The sequence below is a fragment of the Homo sapiens genome, chromosome 19, assembly GCF_000001405.40.
Source record: "Homo sapiens chromosome 19, GRCh38.p14 Primary Assembly".
Classification (NCBI taxonomy): Eukaryota; Metazoa; Chordata; class Mammalia; order Primates; family Hominidae; genus Homo; species Homo sapiens.
The window spans coordinates 11,299,324-11,321,759 of NC_000019.10; the positions used below are offsets into that span (position 1 = coordinate 11,299,324).

Consider the following 22,436-nt stretch of genomic DNA (forward strand, 5'->3'; position numbering starts at 1 on the left):
GCCAGGCACCCATGATCGATTGTGGGGACCCAGTGATGGAGGGGCCCATCACACGTGCCACCTTTGATGGTGTGAGAAGCTGAAATCCTCAGCCTGCCTCTCCAAGTCCTCACAAAACCTGCTGAGTTCATTTAGTTCATCCCTCTTGGGTTTGGTGGCAGGAGAAGGGGAGATGATCAGAAGTGTTTGCATATTGATTGGGGTTTTGAAATGTATTCAAAATAGAGGGACAATTTAGCAAAATCCATCCAAATGACAAAAGCTTCAGCACTTTGACCTGGCAGTCCCATCTCTGGGAATTATTCAAGAACTCACTTGCTGGTGTGCAGAATCACATTCATGCCAGGGCATGTGAAAGATTGCAAAGAGGGCCAGGTGCGGTGGCTCACGCCTATAATCCCAGCACTTTGGGAGGCCGAGGCAGGTGGATCACCTGAGGTCAGGAGTTCGAGACCAGCCTGGCCAACATGGTAAAACCCCGTCTCTATTAAAAATACAAAAAAACTAGCCAGGCCTGGTGGCACATGCCTGTAATCCCAGCTATTCAGGAGGCTGAGGCAGGAGAATCACTTGAACCCGGGAGCCAGAGGTTGCAGTGAGCTGAGATTGTGCCATTGCACTCCAGCCTGGGCAACAAGAGTGAAACTCTGTCTCAAAAAAAGAAAAAAAAAAAAAAAGAAAAGAAAAGAAAAAAGAAAGATTGCAAAGAACCTAGTGAGTATGAATAAGGGTTTAGGCAAGTTAAAATACATCGACACAGTGGAATCCTGTACATCAGGTACAGGGAAGGAGGCGGCTCTCTGGGCACCAGATGGAATGCTCTCCAGGATAGAGTGCCGTCCTCATTGGCATCCTCCCCAGAGGCTGACCCTGAAACAATAATTCAAAGGCATGTGGTTTATTTGAGAGGTGATCCCAGAAAACACCTGCAGGGGACATGGCAAATGAGGCAGGTAAGGGAAGACAGCCCACAAAAGGGGATGCTGGGCACAGCATAGAACATGCACCTAGGTTATTCCACTCAAGTGGAGAGGGAGCTGGGATATTGATCCACCAACTCCAACCAGCCATTGATGGAGGGCTGCTCCCAGGGGGCATGTGGGCTCAGAGGCCAGAGAATCCTCACTTGCTGGCACTAGGGAGTCAGGCCAGTAGGCACAGAACTGACAAGGGCCACAGAGTTATGGGCAGGCCACCAAGAGCCCCTGCTACTCCTGTCGAGAACAGCCAGACGCAGAAAAATGAGTGCAGCATAAACCAAAGAGGAAGAATAGTGAAAATATACTTTGCTTTGACACACATAGAAGAACATCTCTTTGGGGACACAGGAAACAGTTAACAGTCATTGGCATGGAGTGGGAGGAAACTTTTGGCTGGGAGGAAGGGGTGGGAGAGAGACTTTTCATGGTCTGTTCTCCTGTGCATGTCAATTTCGAACCACGTGCCTCTATCATCGCTTTGCAAAAGGATTTTTTAAACCTTTATTTAAAAAACAGAAAATTAAATGTGCCCCTTTTGTGCAGACAGAGATTCCGTGGAAGATGATATTCAATTCTTTAATGGAGTTACAGCCACATCGTGGGTGCAGCAGGGTGTAGGCGATTCCAAAGAGCAGATGATTCAAATTCGTGTGCGATGGGTACAGAGAGATACGCTTGGCTCCAGACCCACGCGTCTCCCTGTTTCCCTCTCTTGTGGTGGGGGCACAGTAGCCTTCGTGTGTCTTCCTCTAGCACAGACCCCTGAGCTGAGGGTAGGAAAAATGAAGGCAGCACGAGGGACGCTCCCACCTCCCACTCTATCCTCAAGAACCTCGGCCAATGAACGGGCCACTCTTGCTAGTTGGGGTACTGATCACTTCCTGTCCTCTCTGTGAGGTTGGAGATGTGGCCTTGGAACACACCTTCGTGACCCTGAGGAAGAATTACAGAGGTTACAACGAGCCAGACGACTATTCTACACAGTGGAACTTGGTCATGGAGAAGGTGAGGCTTACTTAAAAAAAAAAAATTGTGGTGTAAAGGTACACAACATGGGCGGGCGAAGTGGCTCACACCTGTAATCCCAGCACTTTGGGAGGCCGAGGTGGGAGGATCACTTGAGGTCAGGAGTTTGAGACCAGCTGAGCCAACATGGTGAAACCCCGTCTCTACTAAAAATACAAAAATTACCTCCGTGTGGTGGCAGGCATCTGTAGTCTCAGCTACTCAGGAGGCTGAGGCAGGAGAATAGCTCGAACCCAGGAGGTAGAGGTTGCAGTGAGTTGAGATGGCACCACTGCATCCCAGCCTGGGCGACAGAGGGAGGCTCTGTTTAAAAAAAAAAAAAAAAGCCAGTCACAGTGGCACATGCTTGTGGTCCCAGCTACTAAGGAGGCTGAGGTGGGAGGATCACTTGAGTCCAGGAAGTCAAGGCTTCAGTGAACTATGATGGTGCCACTGCACTCTAGCCTGGGTGACAGAGCAAGACCCTGTATCTTGTAAACATGAAATGTATCGTTTAACATTTTTTTTTTTTTGAGTTGGAGTCTCATTCTGTTGCCTAGGCTGGAGTGCAGTGGCGCAATCTCAGCTCACTGCAACCTCCACCTCCCAGGTTCAAGCAATTCTCCTGTCTTAGCCTCCCAAGTAGCTGGGATTAGAGGCGCCCACCACCACACCTGGCTAATTTTTGTATTTTTAGTAGAGACGGGGTTTCACCATATGGGTCAGGCTGGTCTCAAACTCCTGACCTCAGGTGATCCACCCGCCTTGGCATCCCAAAGTTCTGGGATTATAGGCGTGAGCCACCGTGCCCGGCCCCATTTAACAATTTTGAAGTGTGCAGTTCAGCGGCATTAAGCACATTCGCATTGTTGTGCGACCATCACCACCATCTCTAGAACTTCCTTATCTTCCCAAACTAAAACTCTGTCCCATGAAACGCTCACTCCACATTCTCCCTCCCCAAGCCCCTGGCACCCACCATGCTCCTGTCTGTCTATATGAATCTGACGACTCTAGGGACCTCCTAGGAGTGAAATCAGGCAGTGTGTGTCTTTACTAAAAATACAAACATTAGCCAGGCATGGTGGCGTGTGCCTGTAATCCCAGCTACTCGGGAGGCTGAGGCAGGAGAATCGCTTGAATCCGGGAGGCAGAGGCTGCGGTGAGCCAGGATCATGCCACTGCATTGCAGCCTGGGCAACAGAGTGAGGCTCCATCTCAAAAAAAAAAAAAAAAAAAAAAAGGGATTTGCTAGATTCTATGGCAATTCTGCTTTGTATATATACATATATATTTATATACATATGTATATAAATATATATATACACACATACATATATATATACACATACATATATATATATATATATACACACACACACACACACACACACACACATACATATATATATTCACATATATATTTTTGAGACAGGATCTCACTCTGTTGCCCAGGCTGGAGTGCGGTAAGGGGATCATGGCTCACTGCAACCTCTGCCTCCCAGGCTGAAGCAACCTTCCCACCTCAGCCTCTTGAGTAGCTGGGACTGCAGGTTCGTGCCACCATGCCTGGCTAATTTTTTTTTTTTTTTTTGTAGATATGGGGTTTCACCATGTTGCTCAGGCTGATCTTAAAAACTCCTGGCCTCAGCCGCCCCGTCCGGGAGGTGAGGGGCGCCTCTGCCCGGCCGCCCCTACTGGGAAGTGAGGAGCCCCTCTGCCCCGCCACCACCCCGTCTGGGAGGTGTGCCCAACAGCTCATTGAGAACGGGCCAGGATGACAATCGCGGCTTTGTGGAATAGAAAGGGGGGAAAGGTGGGGAAAAGATTGAGAAATCGGATGGTTGTCGTGTCTGTGTAGAAAGAAGTAGACATGGGAGACTTTTCATTTTGTTCTGTACTAAGAAAAATTCTTCTGCCTTGGGATCCTGTTGATCTGTGACCTTACCCCCAACCCTGTGCTCTCTGAAACATGTGCTGTGTCCACTCAGGGTTAAATGGATTAAGGGCGGTGCAAGATGTGCTTTGTTAAACAGATGCTTGAAGGCAGCATGCTCGTTAAGAGTCGTCACCACTCCCTAATCTCAAGTTCCCAGGGACACAAACACTGCGGAAGGCCGCAGGGTCCTCTGCCTAGGAAAACCAGAGACCTTTGTTCACTTGTTTATCTGCTGACCTTCCCTCCACTATTGTCCTATGACCCTGCCAAATCCCCCTCTGTGAGAAACACCCAAGAATGATCAATAAAAAATAAATAAATAAATAAATTAAAAAAAAAAAAAAAAAAAACTCCTGGCCTCAAGCGATCCTCCTAACTCAGCCTCCCAAAGTGCTGGGATTACAGGGGTAGCCACCACACTGGCCTACGTTTTTTGAGGAACTGCCAGACTCCTTTCCACAGTGGCTGCACCATTTTCCATTCCCATCAGCAATGCAGGAGTCTAATTTCTCCACGTCCTTGACACCTGTCATTTTCTGGGTTTGTTTTTTTTTGAGATGGAGTCTCACTCTGTCACCCAAGTTGGAGTGCAGTGGCGCAATCTTGGCCCACTGCAACCTCCGCCTCCTGGGTTCAAGTGATTGTCCTGCCTTAGCCTCCCAGGTAGCTGGGATTACAGGCGTGCACTACCGTACCTGGCTAATTTTTGTCTCTAGTAGAGACAGGACTTCACCATGTTGGCCAGGCTGGTCTCAAATTTTTGACCTGAAGTGATCCACCCACCTTGACTTCCCAAAGTGCTGGGATTACAGGTGTGAGCCACCGTGCACGGCCAATTTTCTGTTATTTTGATCATTGCCATCCTAATGAGTGTGAGGTGGTGAGACTCCCATCTTGATTCTTGGCATTTAAGGAGCAAGACTGGCCTTTAAGTGTTATTTAAGCTTTTGAGACAGGTGGTTGAGGCCAGGCAGGGAGGGTTCAAAGTGGGGAAAGCCATTGCCTGTCTCCAGGAGCATTTCACACCTGAGTTGTAGGTCCAGGAGCTGCTGTGGGTTGATGGCCAGGCTTTGAAAGGAACATGTGATAGGGAACAATTTATTTATGTACTTAAGACAGAGTCGTACTCCCAAAACTCAGGCTGGAGTTCAGTGGCGCAATCTCGGCTCACTGCAGGCACAACTTCCCAAGCTCAGGTGATTCTTGTACCTCAGCCTCCCGAGTAGCTGGGACTACAGGTGCACACCACCACACCCAGCTAATTTTTAAAATTTTTATTTTTATTTATTTATTTTGAGATGGAGTCTCGCTCTGTTGCCCAGGCTGGAGTGCAGTGGCATGACCTCGGCTCACTGCAAGTTCCGCCTCCCAGGTTCATGCCATTCTCCTGCCTCAGCCTCCTGAGTAGCTGGGACCACAGGTGCCTGCCATCACGCCCGGCTAATTTTTTGTATTTTTAGTAGAAACGGGGTTTCACCATGTTAGCCAGGATGATCTTGATCTCCTGACCTCGTGATCTGTCCGCCTCGGCCTCCCAAAGTGCTGGGATTACAGGCGTGAGCCACTGTGCCCAGCCTAAAATTTTTAGTAGAGACCTTTCAGCATGTTGCCCAGGCTGGTCTCGAACTCCTGGGCTCAAGTGATCTGCCTGCTTAGTCTTCCTAAAGTGCTAGGATTATAGCTGTGAGCCACTGCGCCCAGCTTCATTTATTAAAAAAAAAAAAGTTTTGCTCCCTGTGTTGCCCAGACTGGTCTTGAACTCGTCGCCTGAAGTGATCTTCCTGAATTGGCTTCTCAAAGTGTTGGGATTATAGGCATGAGTCACTGCAACTGGCTGATGCCTTTCTGCATGCTGCTTTTGGCTTCTCAAGCTTGTGATGGTACAGAATGTCTCTCTTTCATTCATTCATACAGTCCTCCCACTAATATTTATTGAGCACCTGCTATGAGTCAGGCACTCTATAGGGTTTTTGTTAGGGTACAAAAAAAATCCTTGTTGGTGCTGGGCGCAGTGGCTCATGCCTGCAATTCCAGCACTTTGGGAGGCTGAGGCAGGTGGATCACCTGAGGTCAGCAGTTCGAGACCAGCCTGGCCAACATAGCGAAACCCCGTCTCTACTAAAAATACAAAAATTAGCCGGGCATGGTGGTGCATGCCTGTAATCCCAGCTACTCGGGAGGCCGAGGTAGGAGAATTGCTTGAACCCAGGAGGTGGAAGTTGCAGAGAGCCAAGATCGCGCCATTGCACTCCAACCTGGGCAACAGACAGAGACTGTGTCTCAAAAAAAATAATAAAAATAAAAATAAAAATAAAAATAAAAATAAAATCCTTGTTGGGCCAGGTGCAGTGGCTCACATCTGTAATCCTAGCACTTTGGGAGGCTGAGATGGGTGGATCGCTTGAGGCTAAGAGTTTGAGACCAGCCCAGGCAACATAGCAAGACCCATCTCTACAATAGATAAAAAATGTAGCCAGGCGTGATGGCCTGCACCTGTAGTCCCAGCTACTCAGGAGGCAGAGGAGGGAGAATCGCTTGAGCCCAGAAGATTGAGGTTGCAGTAAGCTACGATCTCAGCACTGCACTTCAAATTCATTCTTCCATTACTGACATGTGAATGAAGAGATGGGCAATCTCTGGTTCTTCCGTTACTGACATGTGAGTGGAGAGATGGGCAAGAAACCAATAACTAAACATTGGTATCAGGTTCATAACTGCTGTGAATAAAAACAAGGCAGGGCCGGGCACGGTGGCTCACGCCGCTAATCCCAGCACTTTGGGAGGACAAGGAGGGTGGATCACTTGAGGTCAGGAATTCGAGACCAGCCTGGCCAACGTGGCATAAACCTGTCTCTACTAAAAATACAAAAATTAGCCAGGCGTGGGGGCGTGTGCCTGAAATCCCAGCTACTCGGGAGACTGAGGCAGGAGAATCACTGAGGAGTTCAGCTTTTTTTTCTTTTTAGAGACAGGTCTTGCTCTGTTGCCCAGGGTGGAATGTAGTGGTGAGGTCATAGCTCACTGCAGCCTTGATCTCCCGGGCTCAAGAGATCCTCTAGCCTGAGCCTCCTGAGTAGCTGGGAATACCGGCATCTGCCACCATGCCTGGCTAATTTTTAAATTTTTTTGCCGAGATGGGGTCTCACCCTGTTGCCCAGGCTAGGAGTTCAGCTTTTACCCTGAGTGAGATGGGAGCCAGGGAGGGTTCTGGGCTGTGATGGGATGTTTGTAAGAGGATGTTTAGCACAGTCTCTGGGATATTGTGACCATACTAGACGGTAGCCATGGTAACCGTGATTTCTGATGTTTTTATTATTTGAAAGGGACTCTCCAAGTATTTCTTCTCCTCTCTATAGCTAAAGTGCTGTGGGGTGAATAACTACACAGATTTTTCTGGCTCTTCCTTCGAAATGACAACGGGCCACACCTACCCCAGGAGTTGCTGTAAATCCATCGGAAGTGTGTCCTGTGACGGACGCGATGTGTCTCCAAACGTCATCCACCAGAAGGTAACTGGAGATTTTGTGTGTTGCCTTGACAGACCCCTGAGGGCTGGTGACTTCATTTTTATTTTTATCTTATTTTGAGAAAGAGTTTCACCCTTGTCACCCAGGCTGGAGTGCAGTGGTGCGATCTCGGCTCACTGCAACCTCCGCCTCCCAGGTTCAAGTGATTCTCCCGCCCCAGCCTCCCAAGTAGCTGGGATCACAGGCATGCACCGCCACACCCGGCTAATTTTGTATTTTTAGTAGAGATGGGGTTTCACCATGTTGGCCAGGCTGGTCTCGAACCTCAGGTGATCCACCCACCTTGGCCTCCCAAAGTGCTGGGATTACAGGCATGAGCTACTGTACCCAGCCTTTTTATTTATTTATTTAGTTAGTTATTTTGAGATGGAGTTTCACTGTGTCTCCCAGGCTGGAGTGCAATGGTGCCATCTTGGCTCACTGCAACCTCCGCCTCCTGGGTTCAAGTGATTCTCCTGCCTCAGCCTCCCGAGTAGCTGGGATTACAGGTGTGTGCCACCACGCCCGGCTGATTTTTGTATTTTTACTAGAGATGGGGTTTCCTCATGTTGGCCAGGCTGGTCTCAAACTCCTGAGCTCAAGTGATCCTCCCACCTCGGCCTCCCAAAGTGCTGGGATTACAGGCATGAGCCACCACACCCGGCCTTATTTTTATTTTTTTAGAGATAGGGTCTCACTCTGTTGCCCAGGCAGGAGTGCAATGGTGCAATCACGGCTCACTGCAGCCTCAAACTCCTGGGCTCAAGTGATCCTCCTGCCTCAGCCTCCCGAGTAGCTGGGACCACAGGCACGTGCCACCATGCCTGGCTAATTTTTTTTTAATTTTTATTTTTAATAGAGATGAGGCCTTAGTATGTTGCCCAGGCTGGTCTCGAACTCCTGGCCTCAAGCAATCCTCCTGCCTCAGCCTCTCAAAATGCTGGGATTACAGGCATGAACCACCACACCCAGCCTGGTAACTTTAATAAAAATTGCTTCTTTTGGGGGACCCCTGCAAAGGGGGTCAGGGAGAAAGAAATCAACTCTTATTGAGTGTTCAGCTTATTTTGACAACACAGAGCAGGGACTTACGGTTACCTTCTCTCAGAAACTGAGGCTCGGGGAGGGGACATCACTAGTTCAAGATCACAGAGCTTTGGCAGAGTTGGAATTTGAAGCCCCATTGGCCTGAGTCCATTGCCGGCACCACACTACCTGCCTTCTAGAGACCCTAAATGGAGCAATAACCATGAAAAGTGATCATCCTAGCGGGAGTGAGGGCCAGCCACGTGATGGAGCACTCACTTTGTGAGTTTTGTCCCATCCTATCCCTTGAGGTGGGGAACTACTCTTCTCTCATTTTGCAGATAAGGAAACTGAGGTACAGAGCATTTCCTGTGTCCAGGGAGTAATGAGCTGGGTTTCAAGCCACACCCCAGTTCCCCCTTAACTTCTTCCACGAGTGAATGAGCACAGAGATCTTCTCTGAGGGAAGAAATAGAAATCAGAGCCAGGGCAACATAGCAAAGTCCCCATCACAACAACAACAAATTTTGTTTTTTTGAGACGGAGTCTTGCTCTATCACCCAGACTGGAGTGCAGTGGCGCAATCTCGACTCACCGCAGCCTCCGCCTCCCAGGTTCAGGTGATTCTCCTGCCTCAGCCTCCCGAGTAGCTGGGATTACAGGCGTGTGCTACCACGCCCAGCTAATTTTTGCATTTTTTTTTTTTTTTGAGACGGAGTCTTGCTCTGTCGCCCAGGCTGGAGTGCAGTAGCGCAATCTTGGCTTACTGCAAGCTCTGCCTCCCAGGTTCATGCCATTCTCCTGCCTCAGCCTCCTGAGTAGCTGGGACTACAGGCTCCTGCCAGCATGCCCAGCTAATTTTTTTGTACATTTTTAGTAGAGACGGGGTTTCACCGTGTTAGCCAGGATGGTCTCCATCTCCTGACCTCATGATCCGCCCGCCTCGGCCTCCCAAAGTGCTGGGATTACAGGCGTGAGCCACCGCGCCTGGCCTAATTTTTGCATTTTTAGTAGAAACGGGGTTTTACCATGTTGGTCAGGCTGGTCTTGAACTCCTGACCTCAGGTGATCCTCCCACCTCAGCCTCCCAAAGTGCTAGGATTACAGGCATGAGCCACCCTGCCTGGCTAAAAAACATTTTTTATATTAGCTGAGTGTGGTGACACATGCCTAAGTCCCAGCTATTCTGGTGGTTGAGGTGGGAGGATCACTTAAGTCCAGTAGTTCAAGACCAGCCTTGGCAACATAGCAAGATGCCGTTTTTACAAAAAAATTAAAAATCAGCTGGGCATGGTGGCATGAACCTGTAGTCCCAGCTAACTGGGAGGCTGAGGCAGGAGGATCGATTGAGCCCAGGAGGTCAAGGCTGCAGTGAGCCGTGATTGTGCCGCTGCACTCCGGCCTGGGCCACAGAGCAAGACCCCTCTCTAAAATAGACAAAAAAAAAAAAAAGAAGAAGAAATATGAATCGTTCATTCCTTCATTTGCACTGAATGGCTCATGCAGGGAAATAGGCCCTGTGGAAAATCAGCCAGGTTGAGTCCCAGGCAGGGGCCTCAGAGACAGACACGGGCCAGACACTGGCCCACTGGGCCCTACACAACCTACCTGTCACCTCCTAACCTTTCCCCCTTGCTCACTCTGTTCCAGCACACTGGCCTCCTCGCTACTGCTCAGAAACACCAGGCACATGCCTGCCTCACCGCCTTTGCACAGGCTTTCCCTCTGCCTGGAGTGCTCTTCCTTCACGTCTTCCTACCTCTCAAGTCTTTACTCAACTGGCACTTTCTCCGTGAGGCTGTTCTGACTTCCCATCTATAAAAGTATCCCTCATCCCAGTGATCATGCTCTGTCTTCATACCCTGTTTCTGTGTCTTTCCAGCATTTATCACCACTTTACAGTATTATCACTATGCTTGCCGTTAGCTGTTCTCCCCACTCAAATGTCAGCCCCATGAGGGCAGGAATTTTGTCTGTTTTATACATTGCTGGGTTGCCACTGTCCAATTCAGTGCCAGGCACTTAAATACCTATTATGTGGCCAAGTGTGATGGCTCATGCCTGTAATCCCAGTACTTTAGGAGGCCAAGGCAGGAGGATCACTTGAGGACAGGAGTTCAAGACCAGCCTGAACAACATAGCAAGACCCTCATCTTCAGGAAAAATTTACAGATTAACTGGGTGTGGTGTTGTTGCACACCTGTAATTTCAGCTGCTTGGGAGGCTGACGCAGGAGGATTGCTTGAACCCAGGAGTTCAAGGCTGCAGTGAGCTATGGTCATGCCACTGCATCCAGTCTGAGTGACAGGACGAGACCCAATCTAAGAAAAAAAAAAACTATTATGTGAAAGGGGGCACGGAACAGTGACAACAGCAAGTTCAATGTGGCCCAAGCCTCCAGAGGTGAGATGTGCCAGGGGCCTAGAAGAGGGAGCTACTCTGGAAGTGCAGGAAGAAGGAAGAAGGCCGGGTGTGGTGGCTCACGCCTGTAGTCCCAGCACTTTGGGAGGCTGAGGTGTGTGGATCACCTGAGGTCAGGAGTTCACCAACATGGTGAAACCCCCATCTCTACTAAAAATACAAAAATTAGCCGGGCGTGGTGGTGGGAGCCTGTAACTCCAGCTACTTGGGAGGCTGAGGCAGGAGAATTGCTTGAACCCGGGAGGCGGAGGTTGCGGTGAGCCAAGTTAGCGCCACTACACTCCAGCCTGGGCAATAAGAGCCAAATTCCGTCTCAAAAAAAAAAAAAAAAAAGTGCAGGAAGGAGAGAGGAGGCCCTACCATCTTCAGGAGGATGCCCTGCCAACGCACTTTGCCTGGTATCCTAATATCTCTGAGCCTCAGTTTCCTCATCTGTAAAATGGAGGAAAGAAGAGTACCCAAATTATGGGGTTATAGTGAGAAATGAGTAAGAAAATATGTGGACGGAGAAGCCACTGAATACGTCAGCTCTTCTGTTCATATGTAAAGAGCACTTAAAAATAACTAACAGTTATTGAATGCTGGCTACATGTCAGACCACTGCAATGTATTTCATGTAGATTCATTCTTTTATATTTATGTATTTATTTAGAGACGGGTTCTTGCTCTGTCACTCAGGCTGGATGGAGTACAGTGGTGCAAACATGGCTCACTGCAGCCTTGACCTCCTAGGCTCAAATGATCCTCCCGTCTCAGCCCCCCAAGTATCTGGGACTACAGGCACATACCACCACACTGGCTAATTTTTTTATTTTTTGTAGAGACGGGGTTTCGCTACGTTGTCCAGGTCAATCTCGAACTCCTGGGCTCAGGGAATCTGCCAGCCTCGGCCTCTCAGAGTTCTGGGATTACGGGCATGAGCCATCGTGCCCAGCCTTATTAATTCTTTATTTAGAGATGGAGTCTCACTCTGTCGACAAGCTGGAATGCAGTGGTACAATCTCGGCTCACTACAACCTCCGATTCCCTGGTTCAAGTGATTCTCCTGCCTCAGCCTCCCGAGTAGCTGGAATTACAGGCACCGCCACCATGCCTGGCTATATTTTTGTATTTTTAGTAGAGATGGGGTTTCACCATGTTAACCAGTATGGTCTTGATCTCCTGACCTCGTTATCCACCTGCCTCCGCCTCCCAAAGTGCTGAGATTATAGGCATGAACCACCACGCCCAGCCTATTTATTTATTTTTGAGACAGGGTATTGCTGTGTCCCCTGGGCTGGAGTGCAGTGGCATGATCATGGCTCACTGAAGCCTCGACTGGCTGAGCTCAAGCAATCCTCCTGCCCCAATCTCCCAAGTAGCTGGGACTACAGCCACACACCAGGCTAATATTTACATTTTTTATAGAGAGGGAGTCTCACTATGTTACCCAGACTGGTCTTGAACTCCCGGGCTCAAGTGATCCTCCCATCTTGGCTTCCCAAAGTGCTGGGATTATAGACATGAGCTACCATGCCTGGCCTTTGATTCTTTTACTCCTCATGAAATTCTTGTAAGGCAGATCCAGTGGGTGCCATTTATAGATGGGAAAATGGAGGTACAGAGAGGTATAGCGACTTCTCCAAGGTCACACAGCTAGTAATAATCGAGGATGTCCAACCACACTTAATTGCCACACTGGAACATTAGCACAGACAAGTAGAAGGGAATCATCGGTATATTCTTTTGGGGGAATGAGGAGGACAGGGAAGATGCTAGGGTGGCGGGGAGCGGGTGGCAGTCAAATGAGATGGAGGGAAGGCCCTCACGGCTCTCTCCCCGCTTCTCCTCAAAGAATCTGAGAGTCGTCTGAGTGGCCTAATGAGTTGGGGTTGATGGGGACTTGCAATCCATAAGCCCCTAACCACCTCCTGCTTGTTTTGGTGTTTGTTTCCTCAGGGCTGTTTCCATAAACTCCTAAAAATCACCAAGACTCAGAGCTTCACCCTGAGTGGGAGCTCTCTGGGAGCTGCAGTGATACAGGTAAGACCCAGCCTCTCTAGGGTCTTTGAGCTGTTTTATTAAGCACCTACTGTATGCCAAACACTGTTCTGGTCACTGGGACACAGGAGTGAACAAAACTAAAAAAAAAAAAAAAAAGAAACTCAACAAAGAAGAACAAACTAAACCCAAATCAAGCAGAAGGAAGATGCTAAAGATTAGAGTGAAAATATGAAAATAAATGAAATGGAGAACATCAATAAAACCAAAATTTGATTCTTTGAAAAGATAAAACAGGTCGGGTATAATGGCTCAGCCTGTAATTCTAGCACTTTGGGAGGCTGAGGCAGGAGGACTGCTTGAGCCCAGGAGTTCAAAATCAGCCTGGGCAACATAGTGAGACTCCCCATCTCTACAAAAACAAAAATAAGAAAATTATCCAGGTGTGGTGGCAGATGCTTGTAGTCCCAGCTACTTGGGGGGCTGAGGCAGGGGGATCACTTGAGCCTGGGATATCAAGGCTAGTGAGGCATGATTGTGTCACTGCACTCCATCCTGAGTGACAGAGTGAGATCATGTCACAAAAAAAGATAAAATTGACAGAACTTTAGTAGACTGAAGGGCAAAAAAAGGGAAAGATTACTCAAATTAGTAACATTAGGAATGAAAGAGAGACATCACTACTGACCTTACAGAAATAAAGCAACTATAAGGGAAAAGTGTGAACCTGTATGCCAATAAATTAGCTAACCTAGATGAAATAGACAAATTCCTAGATAAACATAAACTACCAAAACTGACTCAAGAAGAAATAGAATATGTAAATAGATCTACAGCAAGTAATGACATTAAATTAGTAACCAAAAAACTTCCCACAAAGAAAATATCAGGCCCAGATATCCTCACTGGAAATATTACCAAACTTTTAAAGAATTAACACCATTGTTTCACCTGCAAACTCTGCCAATAAAAAAGAGGAAGACATATTTCCCAGTTTATTCTATGACACCAATACAAGATATTGCAATGACATAAGAAAGTAAAACTACAAGGCTGGGTGTGGTAGCTCATGCCTGTAATCCCAGAATTTTGGGAGGCTGAGGCAGGCGGCTCACGAGGTGAAGAGATCGAGACCAGCCTGACGAACATGGTGAAACCCTGTCTCTACTAAAAATAAAAAAATTAGCTGGGCGTAGTGATGCACGCCTGTAATCTCAGCTGAGATTACAGCTGGGATTTGGGTTGCTGAGGCAGGAGAATCGCTTGAATCTGGGAGGTGGAATTTACAGTGAGCCGAGATTGCACCACTGCACTCCAGCCTTGGCAACAGAGCAAGACTCTGTCTCAAAAAAAAAAAAAAAATTATATCTTAATAAAAAGACAAGTAACCCAACTAAAATGGACAAAGGATTCAAATAGAGATTTTTATCCAAAGAAGGCATACAGATGGCCAGTAATCACATAAAAAATGCTCTACCACCCATCATTAATTAGGGAAATGCCAATAAAAACACTTTATTCTCACTAGGATGGCTAAAGATAATAACAAGTGTTGCCAAGGATGTGGAGATATTTGAATCCTTACACATTGTTGATGAGATTGTAAAATGGTGAAGCCATTTCCTAAAATGTTAAACACAGAATTATTATTTGTCCCAGCAACTTCTCTCCTATGTTTATAATCCAAGATAATTGAAGACATGTATCCATACAAAAACCTTTACGTAAATGCTCATAGCAGGATTATTCATAATAATCAAAAAGTAGATAAAACCCAAATGTACATCAAGTGATGAATGGATAAAGAAAATGCATATCCATTCAATAAAATATTATTCAACAACAAAAACTTATTGATATATGCTACAACGTGGATGACCCATATCAACATCATGCTAAGTGTAAGAAGCCAGTCATGATATTATATGATTCCATTATATAAAATGTTCAGAATAGGCAAGTCCATAGAAATAAAAGGTAGTTAGTGATTGCCAGGGACCAGAGGGTACGGGAAGAATGGGGAGTGACTGATAATAGGTATGGCGTTTCTGTGGTTCATGATGAAAATGTTCTTAAGTTATATAGTAGTGATGGTAGCCCAACTCTGAATATACTAAAAACCATTGAACTGTATACTTTAGAAAGGTAACCTGTATAGTCTATCAATTATATCTCAATGTTATTTAATAAAAAGTGCTCCATGCCCCTGGTTGCCCAAGAAATTTTTCCTACATGCTTTCTGCACATTGACTACCAACATAGTAGTGTCTTTTCTGCAAATCGCCACTAACTGAGACAAGGCTCTATCTTACCAGTCTGGGATATTTATTTCTTTGGGGTAATTTTTTTCATTGTACAAATTTATAATATTGAATATGTACTTGTAAACTATACAACACCTTCCTCCCCAAGGATCCCAGCAGGAAACAGCATTCAGCCCCCAGATGGTCCATTTAAGATGTTTTCAGGGGCCTCCTTGCAGAGGGGTGACAGGGTTCAGTGAAATGAGGCGCCCAGGAGCTAAAGACATGGGGAACTTTTATTTCTCCTAGGCCTGAAGGCTCTAGAAAGGGCATGAAGAGGGTAGGAGCCCAGAAGGAGGGGAAGAAAAGAGGGAGGAAGTGGGGAAGGAATACCCTACCATTCTCTCCTCCCGCTCACCCGTCTTCTCCCGGTGCTTCCTATTGGCCAAGCCTAACCGGAAGTTATGTGGCAGTGGAGTCTGGGGAATATGGTCCGTAGGGCTCCGGGGAGGGCCGAAGTGGAGAGGATGGGCCAGGCGCGGTAGTTCACGCCTGTAATCCCAGCACTTTGGGAGGCCGAGGCGAATGGATCACCTGAGGTCAGGAGCTCGAGACCAGCCTGACCAACATGGTGAAACCCCATCTCTACTAAAAATACAAAAATTAGCCGGGCGTGGTGCTGGGCGCCTGTAATTCCAGCTCCTCGGGAGGCTGAGGCAGGAGAATTGCTTGAACCCGGGAGATGAAGGTTGCAATGAGCCAAGATAGTGCCACAGCACTCCAACCTGGGCAACAGAGTGAGACTCCTTCTCAATAATAATAATAATAATAATAATAATAATAATAATAATAGGCCAGGCGCGGTGGCTCACGCCTGTAATCCCAGCACTGTGGGAGGCCGAGGTGGGCAGGTCACGAGGTCAGGAGATCGAGACGATCCTGGCTAACACAATAAAACCCCGTCTCTACTAAAATACAAAAAAATTAGCCAGGCGTGGTGGCGGCCGCCTGTAGTCCCAGCTACTCGGGAGGCTGAGGCAGGAGAATGGCGTGAACCTGGGAGGCGGAGCTTGTAGTGAGCCAAGATCCGCCACTGCACTCCAGCCTGGGCGACAGAGGGAGACTTCATCTCAAAAATAAATAAATAAATAAATAAATAAAATAATAATAAATAAAAAATAAGTGGAGACGAATGCACTGTAACCACAGTGGCTCCAACTTAGCCCAGGCGGTTCTTCAGCCATCTGTAAAACCCTGCCCCTCGCCTTTCTGGAACAGGATGCTCCCCTTGTCCCCGTAACTCCAGTATGATTCTGGTTTGGAGGTCTCTAGCATTGGATCCATGTTTCTTTCTTCACGCATTTCAGTTGCCAGGAATTCTTGCCACTTTGCTGCTGTTTATCAAGCTGGGCTGACACCCAGGCCTGGAGAAGATGAGACACCTGGGCCCATCTGGCTGCTGGAGATTCAGTCTCAGTTTTATTTCTCTGTGGCACTCACTGCTTCTGGAGGGGAGACTGTTAATAAAAGATTTGGGAACCCCCTGTCCAGCCTGACTTCTTTCTCCTTACTTTCATTTTTGGCAATGATTTTACCTCAAAATGCCTGAATGAGAGACTATGCCCTTTCTCATACAACTTTCCTGTTTTGTAAATTATTCTTGGTGTGTGTGTGTGTGTGTGTGTGTGTGTGTGGTTTTTTTTTTTTTTTCCTTTTGAGAGAGTCTTGCTGTGTTGCCAGGCTGGAGTGCAATGGCACGATCTCAGCTCACTGCAACCTCCACCTCCGGGGTTCAAGTGAGTCTTCTGCCTCAGTCTCCCGAGTAGCTGGGATTACAGGCACTCGCTACCATGCCCAGCTAATTTTTTGTATGTTTAGTAGAGATGGGGTTTCACCATGTTGGCCAGGCTGGTCTTGAACTCCTGAGTTCAGGTGATCCACCTGCCTCGGCCTCCCAATGTGTTGGGATTACAGGTGTAAGCCACTGCACCCAGCCAGTTTTGTAAATTATTCTGTGAAAAATCTAGAACTTTCACAAAAGCCAAGAACATCCATCCAGAGAAACATACACATCACCCAGGTTCAACAATGCAAAGATTGACATATTTGCTTTATCAATCCCCTTTTTACCCTTGATAAAGTATTTTTTCTTTTTTAAATTGACAAGTCATAATTATATATATTTATAGGGTACAATGTGATGTTTTGATATATGCATACAATGTGGAATGATTAAATCAAGCTAATGAACATATCTATAGGCTCACTTATCATTTTTTTGTGGTGATACATCTGTGATCCCAGCACTTTGGGAGACTGAGGTAGGAGGATCGCTTGAGCCCAGGAGTTTGAGACCAGCCTGGGCAACATAGCAAGACCCCCCCCGCCTTTTTTTTTTTTTTTTAAGATGGAGTCTTGTTCTGTCACCCAGGCTGGAGTGCAGTGGTGTGATCTCGGCTTATTGCAACCTTCCCACATTCTGGGTTCAAGCAATTCTCCTGCTCAGGCTCCCATGTAGCTGGGATTACAGGCGCCTGCCACCACGCCTGGCTAATTTTTTGTATTGTTAGTAGACATGGAGTTTCACCAGGCTGGTCTCAAACTCCTGCCCTCAAGTGATCCGCCTGCCTCGGCCTCCCAAAGCGCTGGGATTACAGGTGTGAGCCACTGTGCCTGGCCTGACTCCATCTCTACAAGACAACAACATCAACAAAACCCTCCAAAAAACAAACCTCAGACAATGTCATTTCTTCCCTTTATATTTCAGTACACATCTCTAACGATATGTTCATTTGCGTTCACAACCATAACACCGTTATCACATCTAGGATAATTAACATTGCTTGTTTGGCATCCCTTAATACCTAGGCCATTGTTGAGTCTTCCTAATTGGCTCAAAACTTTTTTAAAGGGACAGGGCCTCACTCTATCACCCATGCTGGAGTGCAGAGATGTGATTGTTGCTCAGGGTAACCTCTAACTCCTGGGCTCAAGGGAGTCTCCCATGTCAACTTTCTAAGTACATGGGACTACAGGCATGCGCCACCACACCCAGCTAATTTTTTTTCTTTTTTCTTTTTTCTTTTTTGAGACGGAGTTTCGCTCTTGTTGTCCAGGCTGGAGTGCAATGGCACGATCTTGGCTCACTGCAACCTCAGCCTTCCGGGTTCAAGTGACTCTCCTGCCTCAGCCTCCTGCCTAGCTGGGATTACAGGCATGTGCCACCATGCCTGGCTAATATTTGTATTTTTAGTAGAGACGGGGTTTCATCATGTTGGCCAGGATTGTCTCGAACTCCTGACCTCAGGAGAATTGCTTGAACCCAGGAGGTGGAGGTTGCAGTGAGCTGAGATCATGTCATTGCACTCCAGCCTGGGCGACAGAGCAATACACTGTCTCAAAAAAAAAAAAAAGTGTGAAATGCTTGGGGAGTGCCAGATGTTCTGGGCTTACTGCTTTCTTTGTGGTTTTGGTTATTTACCCTGTTCCTCTTGTCCACATATTTCCTGAAAAGCATGAGTTACCAGCCCTGGCTGTAGATTAGAATCACCTGGAAGCTTTAACAAACTACCTAAACCTGAACCACAGATCCTGATCTTTTATTATTATTATTATTTTTTTGAGACAGAGTCTCGCTCTGTCCCCCAGGCTGGAGTGCAGTGGCGCGATCTCGGCTCACTGCGAGCTCCGCCTCCTGGGTTCACACCATTCTCCTGCCTCAGCCTCCCGAGTAGCTGGGACTACAGGCACCCGCTACCATGCCCGGCTAATTTTTTGTATTTTTATAGAGATGGGGTTTCACCGTGTTAGCCAGGATGGTCTCGATCTTCTGACCTCGTGATCCGCCCCCCTAGGCCTCCCAAAGTGCTGGGATTACAGGTGTGAGCCACCACACCCAGCCTAATTTTTTGTATTTTTAGTAGAGACGGGGTTTCACTTTGTTAGCCAGGATGGTCTGGATCTCCTGACCTCGTGATCTGCCCGCCTCAGCCTCCCAAAGTGCTGCAATTACAGGCGTGAGCCACTGCGCCCGGCCAGATCCTGATCTTCTAATTTAATTGAACTGGGCTGTGACGTGGGTCTGGGGATGATCCTAGTGGTTTTTAAGATATAGTCATGGTCACAGCTGAGCATCAATGAACTCAGGGGTTCATTCAATGACCATAGCATCCTGAACCAATTCTTTCAGAAGAGGTTGCAAAATGGTGGTTTATCTAATTCCTTTTCTTTTTCTTTTTTTTTTGAGACAGTCTTGCTCTGTCGCCCAAGCTGGAGTGCAGTGGCACGATCTCAGCTCACTGCAACCTCTGCCTCCTGGTTTCAAGCGATTCTTCTGCCTCAGCCTCCTGAATAGTTGGAGTTACAGGTGCCCGCCACCACACACGGCTAATTTTTGTATTTTTAGTAGAGACGGGGTTTTGCCATGTTGGCCAGGCTGGTCTGGAACTCCTGACCTCAAGTGATCCTCCCACCTCAGCCTCCCAAAGTGCTGGGATTACAGGCGTAAGCCACTGCCCCCAGCCAGAAATAAACTTTTTTACCCACACTTCTGACACCAAACATGTGGGGTTTTCCACACCAAGTAATTCTCCAATTCTCTGTGGACACCCGCTGGGTGTTCTACAATTCAGTTCTGACACCAATTACCCAGAGTTGGTGTGTGACCCCACAGATTTAAGGGCTGAGTCCCACAAAACTGAGCTTCCCTCACTTCAGAGGTATCAAGTATTGAGTTCCCAGGTTACCCATATTTCTGTCCAATGTGGCTACAAAGTCAGGGGGGGTTCTCACAAGCCCCCTCCCTTTCAGGTTTGATAATTTGCTAGAATGACTCACGGATCTCAGGCAAGTGTTTTACTTACTACTCCTGATTTATTATAAAGGAGACAACTCAGGCCAGGCGCAGTGGCTTATGCCTGTAATCCCAGCACTCTGGGAGGCCAAGGCGGGCGGATCACGAGGTAAGGAGTCTGAGACCAGCCTGGCCTATATGATGAAACCCCGTCTCTACTAAAAATGCAAAAGTTAGCCGGGCGTGGTGGCACACGCCCTGTAATCCCAGCTACTCCGGAGGCTGAGGCAGAAGAATCGCTTGAACCGGGAGGCGGAGCTTGCAGTGAGCCGAGATCGCGCCACTGCACTCCAGCCTGGGCGACAGAGCGAGACTCTGTCTCAAAACAAACAAAACAAAACAAAACAAAACAAAAAAACAAAAAAAGGAGACAACTCAGGAACAGCCAAATGGAAGTGATAAAGAGGGCAATGTGTGGGGGATGGTGTGCAGCACTTCCACACCCTTTCTTGGGGAGGGGGGCACCACCCTTCCAGCACCTCCATGTGTTCATCAACTCAGAAGCTCTCCAAACCTGTCATTTAGGTTGTATTTTGTTTTGTTTTGTTTTGTTTTTTGAGACGGAGTCTCGCTCTGTCGCCCAGGCTGGAATGCAGTGACGCGATCTTGGCTCACTGCAAGCTCCACCTCCCGGGTTCACGCCATTCTCCTGCCTCAGCCTCCCGCGTAGCTGGGACTACAGGCGCCCGCCACCACGCCCGGCTAATTTTTTTGTTGTATTTTCAGTGGAGACGGGGTCTTACCGTGTTAGCCAGGATGATCTCGATCTCTTGACCTCGTGACCTGCCCGCCTCCGCCTCCCAAGGTGCTGGGATTACAGGCCTGAGCCACTACGCCCGGCCAGGACTTTTTTTTTTTTTTTTGAGACGGAGTTTCTCTCTTGTCATCCAGGCTGGAGTGCAATGGCACGATCTCGGCACACCCCAACTTCTGCCCCACTTGTTCAAGCGATTCTCCCGCCTCAGCCTCCCGAGTAGCTGGGATTACAGGCATGTGCCACCAGGCCCAGCTATTTGTTATATTTTTAGTAGAGATGGGGTTTTGTCATGTTGGCCAGGCTGATCTCAAACTCCTGACCTCAAGTGATCCTCCTGCCTCAGCCTCCCAAAGTGCTGGAATGACAGGCATGAGCCACCACACCTGGCCAATCCTAGCACTTTGGGAGGCCAAGGCGGGAGCATGGCTGGAAGCTGGGAGTTCAAGACCAGCCTGGGCAACATAGCAAGATCCCATCTCTCAATCACTCAATCAGCTGGATGTGGTGGTGCTTGCTTGTAGTTCCAGAAACTCAGGAGGCTGAAGTGGGAGGATCCTTTGAGTCCAGGAGTTCGAGGCTGCAGTGAGCCATGATTGTGCCACTGCACTCCAGCCAGGGCCATACGGCAAGACCTTGTCTCCAAAAAAAAAAAAAAGAAAAGAAAAGAAAAAGAAAAAAGAAATGCTGGGGAGGGAGATTGCAGTACTAAATCAGGGGAGGGGGCAGTGAGAAAGTGAGATTTGCACAGTAGCCCAAAAGAGGAAGTTCAGTTAGGGGAGCTTTGTTGTATTAGTCTGTTTTCCTACTGCTGGAAAGAACTGCCCAAGACTGGGTAATTTATAAAGGAAAGAGGTTTGCCCGTGTACGGTGGTTCACGCCTGTAATCCCAGCATTTTGGGAGGCCAAGGTGGGCAGATCATGAGGTCAGGCGTTCGAGACCAGCCTGGCCAACGTGGTGAAACCCCGTCTCTACTAAAAACACAAAAATTAGCCAGGCGTAGTGGAGTGTGCCTGTAATCCCAGCTACTCGGGAGGCTGAGGCAGGAGAATTGCTTGAACCTGGGAGGCGGAGGTTGCAGTGAGCCAAGATGGCACCACTGCACTCCAGCTGGGTGGCAGAGTAGGACTGAGTCTCAAAAAAAAAAAAACAAAAAAATACCCAAAAAAACATAAGAGGTTTAATTTACTCACAGTTCAACATGGCTGGGGAGGCCTCAGGAAATTTACAATTATAACAGAAGGCAAAGGGGAAGCCAGATACCTTCTTCACAAGGTGGCAGGAAGGAGAAGAGCCGAGAGAAGGCGGAAGAATCCCTTATAAAACCATCAGATCTCGTGAGAACTCACTTGCTATCAGGAGAACAGCATGGGGGAACCGCCCCCAGGATTCAATGACCTCCACCTGGTCTCTCCCTTGACACGTGAGGATTATGGGGATTACAATTCCAGATGAGATTTGGGTGGGGACACAAAGCCAAACCATATCAACTGTGACTACCTTGGGTAAGGGCCATCCAGGCAGAGGCAGGGGGAACATTCTGGGCAAAGGCCTTGGGGCAGGGGCCTGGTATGTTCAGATAGCAGCAAGTAGGCCAGAGTGGCCGGAGGGGAGCAAGTGTGGGGAGGCCAGTGGAGAGATGAGGGTAGGGAAGGGATGGATCAGATCATGCAGGGCCCCGGGGGCCACAGGAAGGACCTCAGCATTTACTGCAAGTAAGGTGGGAGCC

At 47.9% G+C, this 22,436-nt stretch overlaps 1 protein-coding gene and 1 long non-coding RNA gene across 9 annotated transcripts in view; one reads left to right on the plus strand and one right to left on the minus strand.

The window, feature by feature from the left end:
• TSPAN16 (tetraspanin 16) overlaps positions 1–22,436 on the plus strand; it is a 30,837-nt gene that overhangs the window by 3,164 nt on the left and 5,237 nt on the right. For 3 of the 8 annotated variants that reach the window (NM_001282509.2, NM_001282510.2, XM_011527903.4), the window contains 4 exons: positions 1,878–1,985; positions 7,281–7,433; positions 12,816–12,899; positions 16,468–16,644. In NM_001282509.2, coding sequence (NP_001269438.1) covers positions 1,878–1,985; positions 7,281–7,433; positions 12,816–12,899; positions 16,468–16,515 — 393 coding nt within the window. In that variant the 3' untranslated portion in view covers positions 16,516–16,644. Of the gene's footprint in view, positions 1–1,877; positions 1,986–7,247; positions 7,434–12,815; positions 12,900–16,467; positions 16,645–22,436 lie in introns of those variants that run through there. The other 5 variants (XM_011527901.2, XM_024451450.2, NR_104199.2 and 2 more) reach the window with 4 other exon arrangements.
• On the minus strand, positions 1,468–22,002 carry TSPAN16-AS1 (TSPAN16 antisense RNA 1). Its single transcript, NR_187778.1, has 3 exons — positions 21,901–22,002; positions 2,172–2,309; positions 1,468–1,913 (listed from the first exon to the last, which is right to left on the minus strand). It is a non-coding gene; the product is annotated as a TSPAN16 antisense RNA 1 (long non-coding RNA).